The 16,834-nt window shown below is 41.6% G+C and overlaps 1 protein-coding gene across 8 annotated transcripts in view, besides 3 other annotated features; it reads left to right on the top strand.

Moving 5' to 3' along the window:
• The window catches only part of WDFY2 (WD repeat and FYVE domain containing 2), a 183,248-nt gene that overhangs the window by 53,496 nt on the left and 112,918 nt on the right, over positions 1 to 16,834 (top strand). For 2 of the 8 annotated variants that reach the window (XM_024449317.2, XM_047430088.1), the window contains exon 1: positions 7,633 to 9,450. The exons of the other annotated variants lie outside the window; for them this stretch is intronic. The gene's annotated coding sequence lies outside the window, so the exon portion shown is untranslated. Of the gene's footprint in view, positions 1 to 7,632; positions 9,451 to 16,834 lie in introns of those variants that run through there. 8 annotated transcript variants of the gene reach the window in all.
• Positions 4,854 to 5,353: an enhancer, noted in NCBI's record as "H3K27ac hESC enhancer chr13:52216947-52217446 (GRCh37/hg19 assembly coordinates)". NCBI's record gives its function as "activates a minimal SCP1, AML or CMV promoter by ChIP-STARR-seq in primed H9 embryonic stem cells {active_cell/tissue: H9 hESC(primed)}" and the evidence as "EXISTENCE:reporter gene assay evidence [ECO:0000049][PMID:30033119]".
• Positions 8,254 to 8,900: an enhancer, noted in NCBI's record as "OCT4-NANOG-H3K27ac-H3K4me1 hESC enhancer chr13:52220347-52220993 (GRCh37/hg19 assembly coordinates)". NCBI's record gives its function as "activates a minimal SCP1, AML or CMV promoter by ChIP-STARR-seq in primed H9 embryonic stem cells {active_cell/tissue: H9 hESC(primed)}" and the evidence as "EXISTENCE:reporter gene assay evidence [ECO:0000049][PMID:30033119]".
• Positions 8,396 to 8,690: a silencer, noted in NCBI's record as "tiled region #443; HepG2 Repressive non-DNase unmatched - State 14:Gen5'". NCBI's record gives its function as "represses a minimal TATA promoter and a strong SV40 promoter by Sharpr-MPRA in HepG2 cells {active_cell/tissue: HepG2}" and the evidence as "EXISTENCE:reporter gene assay evidence [ECO:0000049][PMID:27701403]".

Raw genomic sequence — 16,834 nt, forward strand, 5'->3', positions numbered from 1 at the left:
GGCTAGGAATACCTAACTTTCTGCGAATGCAGCCCAGCAAGTCCCAGCCTCATTTTCCTAGCCCTCACTCCAGATGGAGTCACTCTGGTTTGAATGCCTCTGACAAGAGTAGTTTACTAATGGGGCCAGCGTTGGGCAGCTAGGGTGGATAGGGTCAGAGAAACAGACAGAGGTCAGATCCTGGAGGGCCTGGTAAACTATAGAGTTGAGCGTGGTCCTCAAATCTTTGAAGGTTCTGACATAATTAGATTTGGATTTTAGAAAGATGACTGCCAGGGCCTGGGTGAAGAAGGGATCAGAGAAGGATGAAAAGGAGTAAGGAGACCAGCTAGTATGCTCCTGGGGGTGGGGTATTAATGAGAGTGTGAACTAAGGCAGTACGGATAGCAGAGAAGACAGATTTTAGTCACATTAAGGAGGAAGAATTTGACAGGGCTGAGCAACATATTGGATGGAAGAGATAACTTTATTCTCTGCGTTTAAATTTTGGTGAATTTAGTATTCCCAAATAAGTGCAAGTGAGTGGATTTCTTAAAACTCTTAGATGGATTGATTTAAATGACTATAGAATGATTGAGCTTCCGTGCAGTGTAGTCCCTCAAAGACGAAAAGAAACTCATTAAAATGAGATCAGAGGGTTAATCCGTTTGCACACAAAAATACCCATTCATGAAAAGCTATGCTGTGTGAGTCAGAAAATGCTGATTTCATTCATTTTATTACCTACATAACTCCTTGAAAGTATGCTGGCTAGTAAAAATATTGGGCACTGCTAAACTTTTTGGATTTTTATTTTTGCAGGGCTTAACTTGATACTGATGCATAATATGCAGAGCAATGATTTACATGTTATGCTTCATTACGGAATGGCCTTTGGCGAAGGGACTATGTGGCTTATCAGCCTTAGCTCAAGCTCAAGATTCTTTGGAATTTCAGAATCTTTTTGCAGTTTGATAAATTCTTGAAGAAAATTTTAGAAAATAATTTAGTTACAGCTATTGCTTTTACCCCACTTTCCCCACAAAAACAAAAATAAGGGCTAATAAACAGAAGTTTCTGTTTCTATGGCTTCTCTGTGCATTTAATGAGTTTACATGTATGCTTTTTTTATTGTCACAAAATCAAGGGAGGTCAAGAATATAATGAATTGTCTCTGGCAAGAGACTTTTCTCAACCAAAAATATAAAGAAATTTTGCTATCGTGGGTTCATCTGCACTTTTTTACACCATGTACTTTGATATATCAAGGAACATTGATGCACAATTCTATAGAAGCTTATGGGAAAGGCTCAATGTGGAAGAAAAGGTAATGTGATTTTGATTTATGGGATTTATTAACATTCATGAGTATACATTATGCATCACCAAAACCCACAGGAAGAAAGGTTGATTATAGGAGGAGGGGTTATCTGTATACTGTGGTTTTCCAAGATAACATGAGACTTTTTTCAGCCATTTATTCAAAATCATCACTTTATTCCAAGCAAAATTGTAGAGGGCAGTAGTTACTGTCGTTTGTTTATTTGACTTGGCAGAGGAATGATATATCATTGTCTTTTAGATTTTTTTGTTTTATACCTCCTTTGTATCCCTACAAAACATATCAGATTTATTTAAAGTTTGTGAGAAATGGTTAGTCTTATTTTTTAATATAGGCTGGATTATGAGGGCTTTTATGATTCCATCCAGAAACTCAGTACTTGTCTCTTTGTCATAAAGGAAAGTAGATGGATATTCGAAATAATGTAGATTATGTAATGTGGAATCTGAATTATTTTATGCCATTTGGTGTTTTTCAGTAGTGAGGAGAATTTAATCTTCTAATGAAATACATTTAAGCACTGCAGAAGTAGGCATTTTCATCTACTCTGCTAACTTCAAAGACGCCCATATGCTGTTGTCTCCTTTCTCATTGACATATACTACCATCATATATATTGAGAATATTTGACATGAGAGCTTTTAAAAAATTTCTAGCAGGATTATTCTGATACTGTGTATCAATTATTATTATTTTTAACATTTGGGCAAATATGCTAGATAATTAGCCTCAGCTGTTCAAATCTTTAAAAGCACAATTTATTCAAGGTGGTTCATTCATTTTAGAAGCCCAGAATTTGTTTGTTATCTAGAGATAAAGTGTTTTATCTGTGAACTTTTTATTAATATCAATAAAGGATATTAAATCAATTCAGATTGCTAAGTAAATGACAAAAGTGTTTAGTACTGCTTGAATTAATAATCACTACTGTTTTTCTATTTATAATCTGTGCTCCCAGAAGAGGCTGTTGTATATAATTTATACAATTGTTGATATGAGTCAAAAGCTGAAGATTTTTAAAAACAGTTTCTTGTGGGCAATTTCAAATATATACAACACACAGAAATAGCAATATATCCGTCATGCAGCTTTAGTTATCAACCTTTGTCAGTCGTATTTCATGCATCTACTCCTTCCACCCTTTGTTGGGTATGGATGTTGGGATTTGCTGTGAACAAATTTTAGATTACTCTATCATTTTACCTGGTAATGCTACAGTACATATCTATAAAGGATAACTGGTTCCACATACCCTAGTGCCTCTTTATCACACAGAGATAAATGAATAGGCCAGGTGCGGTGGCTCATGCCTATAATCTCAGCACTTTAGGAGGCTGAGGCGGGTAGATTACCTGAGGTCAGGAGTTCGAGACCAGCCTGGCCAATATGGTGAAACCCTGTCTCTACTAAAAATACAAAAAATTAGCTGGGTGTGGTGGTGGGTGCCTGTCATCCCAGCTACTCCTGAGGCTGAGGCAGGAGAATCGCTTGAACCCAGGAGGCAGAGGTTGCAGTGAGCTGAGATCACGCCATTGCACTCCAGCCTGGGCAACAAGATTTATCGAATCATTTAATTCCTCTAGAGTCCTAGCTAGTACCTTCACACACCTGCTGGGGATGATTATATCTTTGCTCACTGGGATGATTCATAAAGGATAAAGAGAAATAGAGACAGCGCAGGCAGAAGAGTTGGACTTTCTGTCTTCTGCTCTGCTGTATTTAATTTTGTTAGTGGAAGTTATTTTCTAAAACCACGTTCTATCCAAGTTGGGTCCATCTTATTCATGGAGCATTTATTTATTTATTTATTTAGAGACGGAGTCTCACTCTGTTGCCCAGGCTGGAGTGCAGTGGTATGATCTCGGCTCACTGCAACCTCCGCCCTCCGAGTTCAAATGATTCTCCTGCCCTAGCCTCCCGAGTAGCTGGGATTATAGGCGCCTGCTGCGCCCGGCTAATTCTTTGTATTTTTAGTAGAGACGGAATTTCCACCATCTTGGCCAGGCTCGTCTTGAACTCCTGACTTCGTGATCACCCACCTTGGCCTCCCAGAATGCTGGGATTACAGGCGTGAGCCACCGCAGCCAGCCTGTTCATGGAGCATTTCTAGTCACCACTGAAATATAAGAGGTGGTATTGAAAAATGTGTTTGGCATGTTTTTTATGAGAGCATAGCAAAGAAAAGTGGTTATAATCTAATGATGCATGATTGAATTCCTCTTTTCTCTGAAGAGGTCTGCATGCATTCCTATAGAATATTTTGTCGGGCCGGGCGCGGTGGCTCACGCCTGTAATCCCAGCACTTTGGGAGGCCGAGGCGGGCGGATCACGAGGTCAGGAGATCGAGACCATCCCGGCTAAAACGGTGAAACCCCGTCTCTACTAAAAATACAAAAAATTAGCCGGGCGTAGTGGCGGGCGCCTGTAGTCCCAGCTACTTGGGAGGCTGAGGCAGGAGAATGACGTGAACCCGGGAGGCGGAGCTTGCAGTGAGCCGAGATCCCGCCACTGCACTCCAGCCTGGGCGACAGAGCGAGACTCCGTCTCAAAAAAAAAAAAAAAAAAAAAAAAAAAAATATTTTGTCTAATGTTCCAGGATATCAGGAAAATGGGAGTGTAGTTGAGTTACAGTTATCGTAATAATCTTATTTAATCTGGAAAAGGAAATACATTTTGATCTGATCTTGAGCTAATTTCCTTGTCATTAGTTGTCTTCATTTTAGGATTGGCATTTTTCAAAATTTATCTAAGAGTCTGAGATATTATCTCTCAATTATTGACCCTTTCCCCCATTTTCTTATTAGTCTTTCCAGTTATCTATATCTTAGACCTTTTCATTCTAATCTTTTTTACCTTGTTTTTCATGTTCAGCCTTTCACATTTTCCATATCTTTGTCTCTGTGAATACCGTATTCTATTAAGAGATTGCTTTTCATTTATCTTACAATTTATATATTCTTTCTTCACTTGTAGCTAATTTGATTTATTTGACCCTTGAGATTTTTATTTTATTTTATTTTGTTTTTTGAGACAGAGTCTTGCTCTGTTGCCCAGGCTGGAGTGCAGTGGCACAATCTCGGCTCACTGCAACCTCCACCTCCCAGGCTCAAGTAATCCTCCCACCCCAGCCTCCACAGTAGCTGGGACTACAGGTGTGCTCCACCACTCCTGGCTAATTTTATTATTTTTTTTGTATTTTTGTAGAGATGGGATTTCACCATGTTGCCCAAGCTGATCTGGAACTCTTGAGCTCAAGTGATCCACCGTGGCCTCCCAATGTGCTGTAATTAGAAACTTGAGCCACCGTGCCCAGCCAGAGGTTTTTATTTTAATGATAACATTCTCAACCAGAATAACTTTTATAAACCTGCTTCGTGACCAGCCTGTGGGCATCTGTCTTTTTTTTTTTTTTTTTTTTTTTGAGACGGAGTCTCACTCTGTCGCCAGGCTGAAGTGCAGTGGTGCAATCTCACCTCACTGCAACCTCCACCTCCCAGGTTCAAGTGATTCTCCTGCCTCAGCCTACCGAGTAGCTGGGACTACAAGTGCACACCACCATACCCAGCTAATTTTTGTATTTTTAGAGATGGGGTTTCACCATGTTGGCCAGGATGGTCTCGATCTCTTGACCTCGTGATCCGCTCACCTTGGCCTCCCAAAGTGCTGGGATTACAGGCGTGAGGCACTGCGCCCAGCCATGTGGCCATGTGTCTTTAATTGCTGCACCTTTGGCAACTCTATGAAGACTACAGTTGTGGAGAGAGAGAATCATTCTGCTATTTTCCTTTTTTTTAAATTGTAAAATATATATAACATAAAGTGTATCATTTTAACTATTTGTAAGTGTTCAATTCATTGTCATTAGGTATAGTCACAGTCTTGTGCAACCATCACCACTGTCCATTTCCAGAATTTTTTCATCATCCCAAGCGGAAATTCTGTATCCATTACACAATCACTCCTTGTTCCCCTTCCCCCAGGATCTGCTGCATTTTTAAGATGACTATCCTGGAAGACAACAGTTAATCCATCTCAGATTCAGAACAGTAGCAGCCAGGGGCATCCTCTGAATCACTGCTCTTTCCATTTACTGTTTCATTGTTTCTACTGAGCATTTTTCACATGCCTGCCACTGTAACTGGCTGGAGGAATATGGTGGTGAGTAGGATGACACAGACCATGCCCTCCCACTGTGTATAGAGCCAAGAACAATATTTAAATCTATATTATTCCTCTAATGATATCATCCCGATTTCTCCTACAGGGTGGTATTGATGAACACTCTCATATTGTTGAATTGCTTAGGCTGCCAGTTCAAGGGTGGTACTCATGTTTCTCTTGCCTGTGAGGGACTCTGGCTGTGTTGCAGATGGCATGGCTGATGCTAATAACTAGGGCCCTGTCCAGCCTCCATGATCTTCTGGTGCATTGCTGTTCCTGCTACTTCCTTGTGGGTTCTTCCTCACCACTGCTTGGACAATATTCGTTTTTCTCTTTAATTTCCCTTTCTTTTTTCTTTTTTTCCCTGTATTTATATGACCTTTTAAAAGCACTTCCTGTATGCTAAATACTGTATGTGATAAAAATGAAAGTATTGTAGGTACTCTAAAAAAACAAAAATGTTTGAATCTTTATTCAAATAAGGAATTATTGATTATTCAGGGAATTTCTTGTGTCATAGGAAGAAGGACTTGCTAACTAACATTGATTAATGTGATGTGTCCTAACATAGGCCTGTGCAAGGTACAGTGGGATTCTGGAGCTTAGTTTTGCCTGAGGAATTGCCAAGGCTTCATAGGGAAAGTGGATATGTGTGTATCTCTGGGGAGAGACAGAGGGAGTCAGGGAAGTATAAAACCCACAACTATGCAAGGACAGGAAGCAGTGCTTAAGCATTAGTCAGTAAGAGTTAAATTACTAAAAAAACAAAAGCCAAGTCTGCAATACAAGGGCACTATCTGCAGACACAAAATAGTGCTATTTGTAAGAAAACTACTCCGAATTAAGACCTTGTGGCTCATCTTTTCCTTCCCCCTCTCGAGGGTCTTACTACTGACTGCTTAAGACAACCATTTCCAGGTATATTGTTTGTAATTCTCACCTGGTATATGGGTCCAATTAACCTCATGTTGAGACTTCATTTTATAGATTTTAAAAACACTGAAAATGTTGTCACTTGACTGTAATTTTAAAAATTCTAAATTGTGAAGGCTTTCACAGCCTTTGGATTAAGAGAAATGACCCAACTGATAAAAACTCCAAGGGGAGATGGCTGGAATAAATAATACACCTTGCTGATGCAAATAACTGCAAATAACTGGAATGGCGGTGAGTGTTTTGAAAGCAAGAGTGCCATTAAAAGCCCAAGGTGTTGAAATATAAAATAGCCATACCTCTTCTCTAGCCACTGATTGCTGAGTTGCTACAGCTGTGAGGAAAAAAAAAGTCCAGGTGTATGATTCAGCAAAGTTATTTGGGTCTGTTGTACCAAGGTCATTAATGTGAGAACTGAGCTCCTTGGCAAGAGGGGACCAGAGGCTGGACAATACTGGACAACACCCAGCTTGAGTCTCTGAGTCTTGAAACCGCTGGCCACCTCAATTCACTTGCAGTTTCCACACAGTAGCATCTGTCTATCATGGAGAAACCCTGGAAACAAAAGATACACAGTGCATTGTAGAAGATTGGGTTTAGGTTATTTACTATATGTGGTTGGAATGCATTTGCTGGGAACCTCTCAGTTTGTTTTTATTACAAGTAATTAAAGAAATCTGATAATCATAGAGAAATCAACTTTTAAAAAATCAGCTATGTTTTCTAAGAATCTCTGCAACATTTTCTGCGTTTGAAGCTTTTTTTTTTCTTTTTTTTCTCTTTAAACAAATGACTATGAAAACTACATCCTGTTGCTCAAAGTTTTTCTATTAGTTTGCAGATCGCTAGGGGCTGCCTTCCTTCTGTTTGTATTGCTGTTGCAGGGTGTGATCTGTAGAAAAGTATTCCCTGGAAATTCAGGGCCTTCAAAACCCAGTGGGCTTCACTTCTCCCAGCCCCTACCCCAAGTTACTTCAGTTGTGGCAAAAATAACAATTGTCCCCTGGGAAATGAAGCTCATTGCTATGGTAACTAATGAAGGTTGCATCATTCTAGGGCACATTTTTAAAAGCCTGATTTCAACATGGGTAGACGCCCCGTCTTATTTTATTCAGTAGCTTAGCAACCTGTGGTATACTGTTTGTTGCCACCCCCAGCCTTCCCTTTTCTCTCAGAAAAATGACCTATATAGATAGTGTTTTATTGTAGGCACGTTTCCACTGTGAATATAGTTCAGCTCTTAGGTGTGCTTATGATGACCTTATTTTCTGGACCAAAATTCAGGACATATTTTGTGTCTGTAAAGTAAAGAAGGATTATTCTTCTGCCTCTCTGCTGGCTTGTGCTAAGGTCTTTGCAGATGTTTTTCTCTTGACCACCCCTTAACTCTTGGTGTTTGTCTTTGTTGTTGGCCTTCTTTTCTTATTCTCTGGTAACTACTCCTTATATGCTGATGTCTCCCAAATCTTAATTTTCAGCCCAGGTCTTACCCCTGAACTTCATGTAGACAGTTTTCTCTGCAACAGCCCTAACTGGATTTTCCCTGCACTCAGGGTGTTCAAGATGAACTCAACATTGCCTTCCACAAAAATCACTTACTGATGAATGACACCACCATTCATATGACACCCTACATCCAGCCAGCCCCCAAGTCCTGATGCTTCTACTTCCTGACTGCTCTAAAATCTGTCCTCTCTCTTCTAGGCCTTCATCCTTTTTTACTTGGTTTGCTGCCTACATCCTCCAAACTGGTTACTTCAGGGTAACCCCGCCTTTTCCAGGCTGCCCCCAAACAAACAAGAACAAGCGTGGTTTTGTGACCAGCTCCTCATCCTCAGCATCGGTGGCCTTCTGCCTGTTCTTTGTCCAGGCTGGATTCTCACGACTCCTGCTCGCCTTGCCTCCCTGGGCGGCAGAGGCAATGCTCCTGCAGAATGTGCTCCTACGCCCTCTCCACTTTCCTCTGCCAAATGCCTTTTCACCCTGCATTTCAGACACCATTATTTCTGAGAAGCTTTGTTTAACCCTGCCTGAGCCCGGGCTCTGTAGTCAGAGTTAGATGCCCCCACGTGCCCCTATCACAGCATGGGCATCTCCATACCTTAGCTCTTACCTTGCTTTGTTGTAATGTTCTATGACCTGTCTCCCCCTGTGAGCTTCCTGACAACAGAGGTGGCACTTGTTTTTCTTTGTGGTTCCAGTGTGTTTCACATACCAGTACCTAGTAGGTGTTTGATAAATGTGTGTCGTGTAAATTAATGAATCAACAAGTCAATGAATGAATGTATATAAGTGCACTTGTGAGGCAGTGGGGGAGAATTCCTAACTTCTAGAGTTTAGTAGTCTTGGAAAATCCAAGTTGTCAGAACCTGTTGTTCACTATCTGCATCACTATAAGCAGACTCCTAAAGATTGCTAGAATATAGCACAAAGGATATGTCTTTGCAGGCTAGGATGGGTAGGGGCATGAACCTGGTGTGGTGCTTTGCCATATCCAGTTGGCCCTTCTTATCTGTGGGTTCTGCATCCATGGATTCAACAAAACTTGGATGGAAAGTATTTGGGGGAAGTGGGGAGGAAGGATGGTTGTATCTGCACTGAATGCGTATAGACTTTTTTTCCTTTATTATTTCCTGAACAATACAGTATAACAGCTGTTTACATACCATTTACATAGTGTTAGGTATTATAAGTAATTTAGAGATTAAAGCCTACGAGAGGATGTATGTAGGTCATATGCAAATACTGTACCATTTTATATTAGAGACTTGAGCATACAAAATCTGGGGGAGATCCTGGAACCAGTCCCCATGGATACAGTCATGTGTCACCTAACAGTGGGGATACATTCTGAGACATATGTCATTAGGCAGTTTAGTCATTGTGTGATTGCCATAGAATGTACTCACACAAAACTATATGGTCTACCCACTACGTCCCTAGGCTGTATGATATATATAGCCTGTCATTCCTAGGCGACAAATTTGTGTATCATGTAACTATACTGAATAATGTAGGCAACTGTAACACAAATGGTGAGTATGTGTGTATCTAAACATAAAAAGCGTAAGGTAAAAATATGGTATTAGAATCTTAGGGGGACTAGGTTCAGTGGCTCATGCCTGTAATCCCAGCTCTTTGGGAGGCCAAGGCAGGAGGATCACTTGAGGCCGGGAGTTCCATACCAGCCTGGGAAACACAGTGAGACCTCCGTCTCTATAAAATTTTTTAAAAAATTAGCCAGGTATGGTGGTGAGCATCTGTAGTTTAGCTACTTGGGATGCTGAGGTGGGAAGATCACTATTTGAGTTCAGTAGTTCAAAGTGACAGTGAGCTATGATTGTGTCACTGCCTTCCTGCCTGGGCAACAAAGCAAGACCATGTCTCTCTCTTAAAAAAAAAAAAAAAAAAAAAACCTTATGGGACCACCATTATATATGTGGTCCAATGTTGACTGAAACATTGTTATGCAGCCCATGACTATGTATGTGTATGCATGTATACACACACACACGAGTCAGTTTAGCAACTGTGTCTGATAAAACTACTGCCAGCTTATGTGTGTCAGCACAGTTTAAAACAAGAAAGTCAAATACAAACTAAAAAATTGGGATCTCAGAAAGGGAGCATATGATTCCCTGCTTAGTTGAACATGTGAGTCCCCCTCTGCCTGATCAGACTGGCTACTGTGCTGAGTGCTGTCCCTGAGGTCGCACTTGTCCTGGTTAAGGTTGTAACTGAGGCAGGCACTGAATTTAGTCCTTTGGAGAGAGTTGGGGTGAGATGGGAGGCACGTGGGAATTCCCTGCCCGTCAGTATTTCTTTAGGAAATAAGGGCTGGAGCTGTGCAATTAAGGATTCATAGTTCCCTCCCATCATCTTATGCAGCACAGTGTATAGACTTCTCAGTATCAACCTAGCTTCCTTGCTGCCTTTTTGCACTAGATGTCTGTCCAGGTGCAGTCAGAGGACTTTCTGACAGTGGACAGGTAGGTTGGGGTGGCCATGGCCATAGGGAGAGATTTTTGATTGATTCTTTTAATCTTTCACAAACAATGAGCACCACTTTTGGGCCTGATGTAGTGCTTGACCTTGGGGCAAATATCAAATATGGTAAAATGTGGTTCCTTCTCTGCTTGCATTTATAGCCCAGTCAAGGAGCAAACCAGCACTGATCCTAGTAGAACTTTGATATAAACACCACAATTTATCAAACATCCGTTTTAACCTTAAGGAAGCAATTTTGGGGCTAGGGGAGGGAACTTGAGGATGGGTCAGTAGGTACAGCAGACTACCATGGCACACTTATACCTATGTAACAAACCTGCACGTTCTGCACATGTATCCCGGAACTTAAAGTAAAATAAAATAAAAATCAATTTTGTTTTAGGTCTACAGAATAGGGCTGATATTTAAAAGTAATTTTAACCTGTTGAAATGTGATCAGCTGTATCCAACACAGAATGAAATTATGCTGTTTTTAAATAGCTCAGGCCAGGCTCAGTGGCTCACGCCTGTAATCTCAGCACTTTGGGAGGCCAAGGCAGGTGGATCGCTTGAGGTCAGAGGTTCAAGACCAGCCAAGCCAATATGGTGAAATCCCGTCTCTACTAAAAATACAAAGATTACCCGAGTGTGGTGGCATGCACGTGTAATCCCAGCTACTCAGGAGGCTGAAGCAGGACAATCATTTAATCCTGGGAGGTGGAGGTTGCAGTGAGCCAAGGTCGTGCCATTGCACTCCAGCCTGGGCAACAGAGTGAGACTCGGTCTCAAAAAATAAAAAATAAAAATAAATAGCCCAGTTGCTGAACTGCTTGAGACCGACTATGGGCTACTTCATCTTGGTATTTTTAGATGAGCATTGTCTTCTCCCAGTGTTGGTTTGTGCCTCGTGCTGGGAGCTTAGGAGAGAGGAAGAGGCAGGGAGAGAAGAAAACAGCACGTGCAAGATGGACTGTGCGGTGCATTTGGCCCTGTCCTGTTACTGCGAACCCAGGGCTTTATGTGGGGGATGAAAGGACACTTTCCCTGCATTTCAGCGGTCAGACTTTTTTTTTTTTTTTAAATACTTTAAGTTTTAGGGTATATGTGCACAACATGCAGGTTTGTTACATATGTATACATGTGCCATGTTGGTGTGCTGCACCCGTTAACTCGTAATTTAACATTAGGTATATCTCCTAATGCTATCCCTCCCCCCACCCCCTACCCCACAATAGGCCCCAGCCCTGGTGTGTGATGTTCCCCTTCCTGTGTCCAAGTGTTCTCGTTGTTCAATTCCCACCTATGAGTGAGAACATGCAGTGTTTGGTTTTTTGTCCTTGCAATAGTTTGCTGAGAATGATGGTTTCCAGCTTCATTCATGTCCCTACAAAGGCTCTGTTCTGTTCTATTGGTCTATATCTCTGTTTTGGTACCAGTAACATGCTGTTTTGGTTACTGTAGCCTTGTAGTATAGTTTGAAGTCAGGTAGCATGATGCCTCCAGCTTTGTTCTTTTGGTTTAGGATTGACTTGGCAATGCGGGCTCTTTTTTGGTTCCATATGAACTTTAAAGTAGTTTTTTCCAATTCTGTGAAGAAAGTCATTGGTAGCTTGATGGGGATGGCATTGAATCTATAAATTACCTTGGGCAGTGTGGCCATTATCACGATATTGATTCTTCCTACCCATGAGCATGGAATGTTCTTCCATTTGTTTGTGTCCTCTTTTATTTCGTTGAGCAGTGGTTTGTAGTTCTCCTTGAAGAGGTCCTTCACATCCCTTGTAAGTTGGATTCCTAGGTATTTTATTCTCTTTGAAGCAATTGTGAATGGGAGTTCACTCATGATTTGGCTGTTTGTCTGTTATTGGTGTATAAGAATGCTTGTGATTTTTGCATATTGATTTTGTATCCTGAGACTTTGCTGAAGTTGCTTATCAGCTTAAGGAGATTTTGGGCTGAGACAATGGGGTTTTCTAGATATACAATCATGTCATCTGCAAACAGGGACAGTTTAACTTCCTCTTTTCCTAATTGAATACCCTTTATTTCCTTCTCCTGCCCGATTGCCCTGGCCAGAACTTCAACACTATGTTGAATAGGAGTGGTGAGAGAGGGCATTCCTGTCTTGTGCAAGTTTTCAAAGGGAATGCTTCCAGTTTTTGCCCATTCAGTATGATATTGGCTGTGGGTTTGTCATAAATAGCTCTTATTATTTTGAGATACGTCCCATCAATACCTAATTTATTGAGAGTTTTTAGCATGAAGTGCTGTTGAATTTTGTCAAAGGCCTTTTCTGCATCTATTGAGATAATCATGTGGTTTTTATCGTTGGTTCTGTTTATATGCTGGATTACGTTAATTGATTTGCGTATGTTGAACCAGCCTTGCATCCCAGGGATGAAGCCCACTTGATCATGGTGGATAAGCTTTTTGATGTGTTGCTGGATTCGGTTTGCCAGTATTTTATTGAGGATTTTTGGATCGACATTCATCAGGGATATTGGTCTAAAATTCTCTTTTTTTGTTGTGTCTCTGCCAGGCTTTGGTATCAGGATGATGCTGGCCTCATAAAATGAGTTAGGGAGGATTCCCTCTTTTTCTACTGATTGGAATAGTTTCAGAAGGAATGGCACCAGCTCCTCCTTGTACCTCTGGTAGAATTCGGCTGTGACTGCATCTGGTCCTGGACTTTTTTTGGTTGGTAAGCTATTAATTATTGCCTCAATTTCAGAGCCTCTTATTGGTCTATTCAGAGATTCAACTTCTTCCTGGTTTATTCTTGGGAGGGTGTATGTGTCAAGGAATTTATCCATTTCTTCTAGATTTTCTAGTATATTTGCATAGAGGTGTTTATAGTATTCTCTGATAGTAGTTTGTATTTCTGTGGGATCGGTGGTGATATCCCCTTTATCATTTTTTATTGCGTCTGTTTGATTCTTCTCTCTTTTCTTCTTTATTAGTCTTGCTAGTGGTCTATCAATTTTGTTGATCTTTTCAAAAAACCAGCTCCTGGATTCATTAATTTTTTGAAGCATTTTTTTGTGTCTCTATCTCCTTCAGTTCTGCTCTGATCTTAGTTATTTCTTGCCTTCTGCTAGCTTTTGAATGTGTTTGCTCTTGCTTCTGTAGTTGTTTTAATTGTGATGTTAGGGTGTCAATTTTAGATCTTTCCTGCTTTCTCTTATGGGTATTTAGTGCTATAAATTTCCCTCTACACACTGCTTTGAATGTGTCCCAGAGATTCTGGTATGTTGTGTCTTTGTTCTTGTTGGTTTCAAAGAACATCTTTATTTCTGCCTTGATTTTGTTATGTACCCAGTAGTCATTCAGGAGCAGGTTGTTCAGTTTCCATGTAGTTGGGCAGTTTTGAGTGAGTTTCTTAATGCTGAGTTCTAGTTTGATTGCACCATGGTCTGAGAGACAGTTCTTTTACATTTGCTGAGGAGTGCTTTACTTCCAACTATGTGGTCAGTTTTGGAATAGGTGTGGTGTGGTGCTGAGAAGAATGTATATTCTGTTGATTTGGGGTAGAGAATTCTGTAGATGTCTATTAGGTCCGCTTGGTGCAGAGCTGAGTTCAATTCCTGGATATCCTTGTTAACTTTCTGTCTCGTTGATCTGTCTAATGTTGACAGTGTGGTTGTTGTTCAAGTCTCCCATTATTATTGTGTGGGAGTCTACATCTCTCTGTAGGTCTCTAAGGACTTGCTTTATGTATCTGGGTGCTCCTGTATTGGGTGCATATATATTTAGGATAGGTAGCTCTTCTTGTTGAATTGATCCCTTTACCATTATGTAATGGCCTTCTTTGTCTCTTTTGATCTTTGTTGGTTTAAAGTCTGTTTTATCAGAGACTAGGATTGCAACCCCTGCCTTGTTTTGTTTTCCATTTGCTTGGTAGATCTTCCTCCATCCCTTTATTTTGAGCCTATGTGTGTCTCTGCATGTGAGATGGGTTTCGTGAATACAGCACACTGATAGGTCTTGACTCTTCATCCAGTTTTCCAGTCTGTGTCTTTTAATTGGAGCATTTAGCCCATTTACGTTTAAGGTTAATATTGTTATGTGTGAATTTGATCCTGTCATTATGATGTTAGCTGGTTATTTTGCTCATTAGTTGATGCAGTTTCTTCCTAGCCTCGATGGTCTTTACAATTTGGCATGTCTTTGCAGTGGCTGGTATTGGTTGTTCCTTTCCATGCTTAGTGCTTCCTTCAGGAGCTCTTTTAGGGCAGGCCTGGTGGTGACAAAATCTCTCAGCATTTGCTTGTCTGTAAAGGATTTTATTTCTCCTTCACTTATGAAGCTTAGTTTGGCTGGATATGAAATTCTGGGTTGAAAATTCTTTTCTTTAAGAGTGTTGAATATTGGCCCCCACTCTCTTCTGGCTTGCAGAGTTTGTGCCGAGAGATCCGCTGTTAGTCTGATGGGCTTCCCTTTGTGAGTAACCCGACCTTTCTCTCTGGCTGCCCTTAACATTTTTTCCTTCATTTCAACTTTGGTGAATCTGATAATTATGTGTCTTGGAGTTGCTCGTCTCGAGGAGTATCTTTGTGGTGTTCTCTGTATTTCCTGAATGTGAATGTTGGCCTGCCTTGCTAGATTGGGGAAGTTCTCCTGGATAATATCCTGCACAGTGTTTTCCAACTTGGTTCCATTCTCCCCGTCACTTTCAGGTACACCAATCAGACGTAGATTTGGTCTTTTCACATAGTCCCATATTTCTTGGAGGCTTTGTTTGTTTCTTTTTATTCTTTTTTCTCTAAACTGCTCTTCTTGCTTCATTTCATTCACTTGATCTTCCATCACTGATACTCTTTCTTCCAGTTGATCGAATCGGCTACTGAGGCTTGTGCATTTGTCACGTAGTTCTCGTGCCGTGGTTTTCAGCTCCATCAGGTCCTTTAAGGACTACTCTGCATTGGTTATTCTAGTTAGCCATTCGTCTAATCTTTTTTCAAGGTTTTTAACTTCTTTGCCATGGGTTCGAACTTCCTCCTTTAGCTCGGAAAAGTTTGATCATCTGAAGCCTTCTCTCAACTCGTCAAAGTCATTCTCCGTCCAGCTTTATTCCATTGCTGGTGAGGAGCTGCGTTCCTTTGGAGGAGAAGAGGCACTCTGATTTTTAGAATTTTCAGTATTTCTGCTCTGTTTTTTCCCCATCTTTGTGGTTTTGTCTACCTTTGTTCTTTGATGATGGTGACGTACAGATGGGGTTTTGGTGTGCATGTCCTTTCTGTTTGTTAGCTTTTCTTCCTTCTAACAGTCAGGACCCTCAGCTGCGGGTCTGTTGGAGTTTGCCAGAGGTCCACTCCAGACCCTGTTTGCCTGGGTATCAGCAGCAGAGGCTGCAGAGCAGTGAATATTGGTGAACAGCAAATGTTGCTGCCTGATCGTTCCTCTGGAAGTTTTGTCTCAGAGGAGTACCTGGCCGTGTGAGGTGTCAGTCTGCCCCTACTGGGGGGTGCCTCCCAGTTAGGCTACTTGGGGGTCAGGGACCCACTTGAGGAGGCAGTCTGTCCGTTCTCAGATCTCAAGCTGTGTGCTGGGAGAACCACTACTCTCTTCAAGGCTGTCAGACAGGGACATGTAAGTCTGCAGAGGTTTCTGCTGCCTTTTGTTTGGCTATGCCCTGCCCCCAGAGGTGGAGTCTACAGAGGCAGACGCCTCCTTGAGCTGTGGTGGGCTTCACCCAGTTTGAGCTTCCTGGCCACTTTGTTTACCTACTCAACCCTAGGCAATGCCAGGCGCCCCTCCCCCAGCCTCGCTGCTGCCTTGCATTTTGATCTCAGACTGCTGTGCTAGCAGTGAGCAAGGCTCCGTGGGCGTAGGACCCTCCGAGCCAGGCGCGGGATACAATCTCCTAGTGTGCCGTTTGCTAAGACTGTCGGAAAAGCACAGTATTAGGGTGGGAGTGACCTGATTTTCCATGTGCCATCTTTCACCCCTTTCCTTGGCTAGTAAAGGGATTCCCTGACCCCTTGTGCTTCCCGGGTGAGGTGATGCCTTGCCCTGCTTCAGCTCACACTCGGTGTGCTGCACCCACTGTCCTGCACTCACTGTCCGACAATCCCCAGTGAGATGAACCTGGTACCTCAGGTGGAAATGCAGAAATCATTCGCCTTCTGCGTCGCTCACGGTAGGAGCTGTAGACTGGAGCTGTTCCTGATCGGCCATCTTGGCTCCACCCAGACTTTTTTTCCCCCAATACCCTAACCTCTGCGGGCTTAATATGACTCGTAACCATAGTTGTCATTTTCTGAAAATTTTCTTCAGGGAAAAATGTTTTTCATGTTGCTTTTAAAATAACAATTTTCAGAAAAATTAAAACTTACTTCTAAGGCTTTGTATAGTAAAATTCACATTCATTTAGGAAATTCCTAACCATCCATATGGCACTTTTGATCTCTAAGATGCAGAACCTTTTTTTTC

Source organism: Homo sapiens, chromosome 13 (assembly GCF_000001405.40).
Source record: "Homo sapiens chromosome 13, GRCh38.p14 Primary Assembly".
Lineage (NCBI taxonomy): Eukaryota > Metazoa > Chordata > Mammalia > Primates > Hominidae > Homo > Homo sapiens.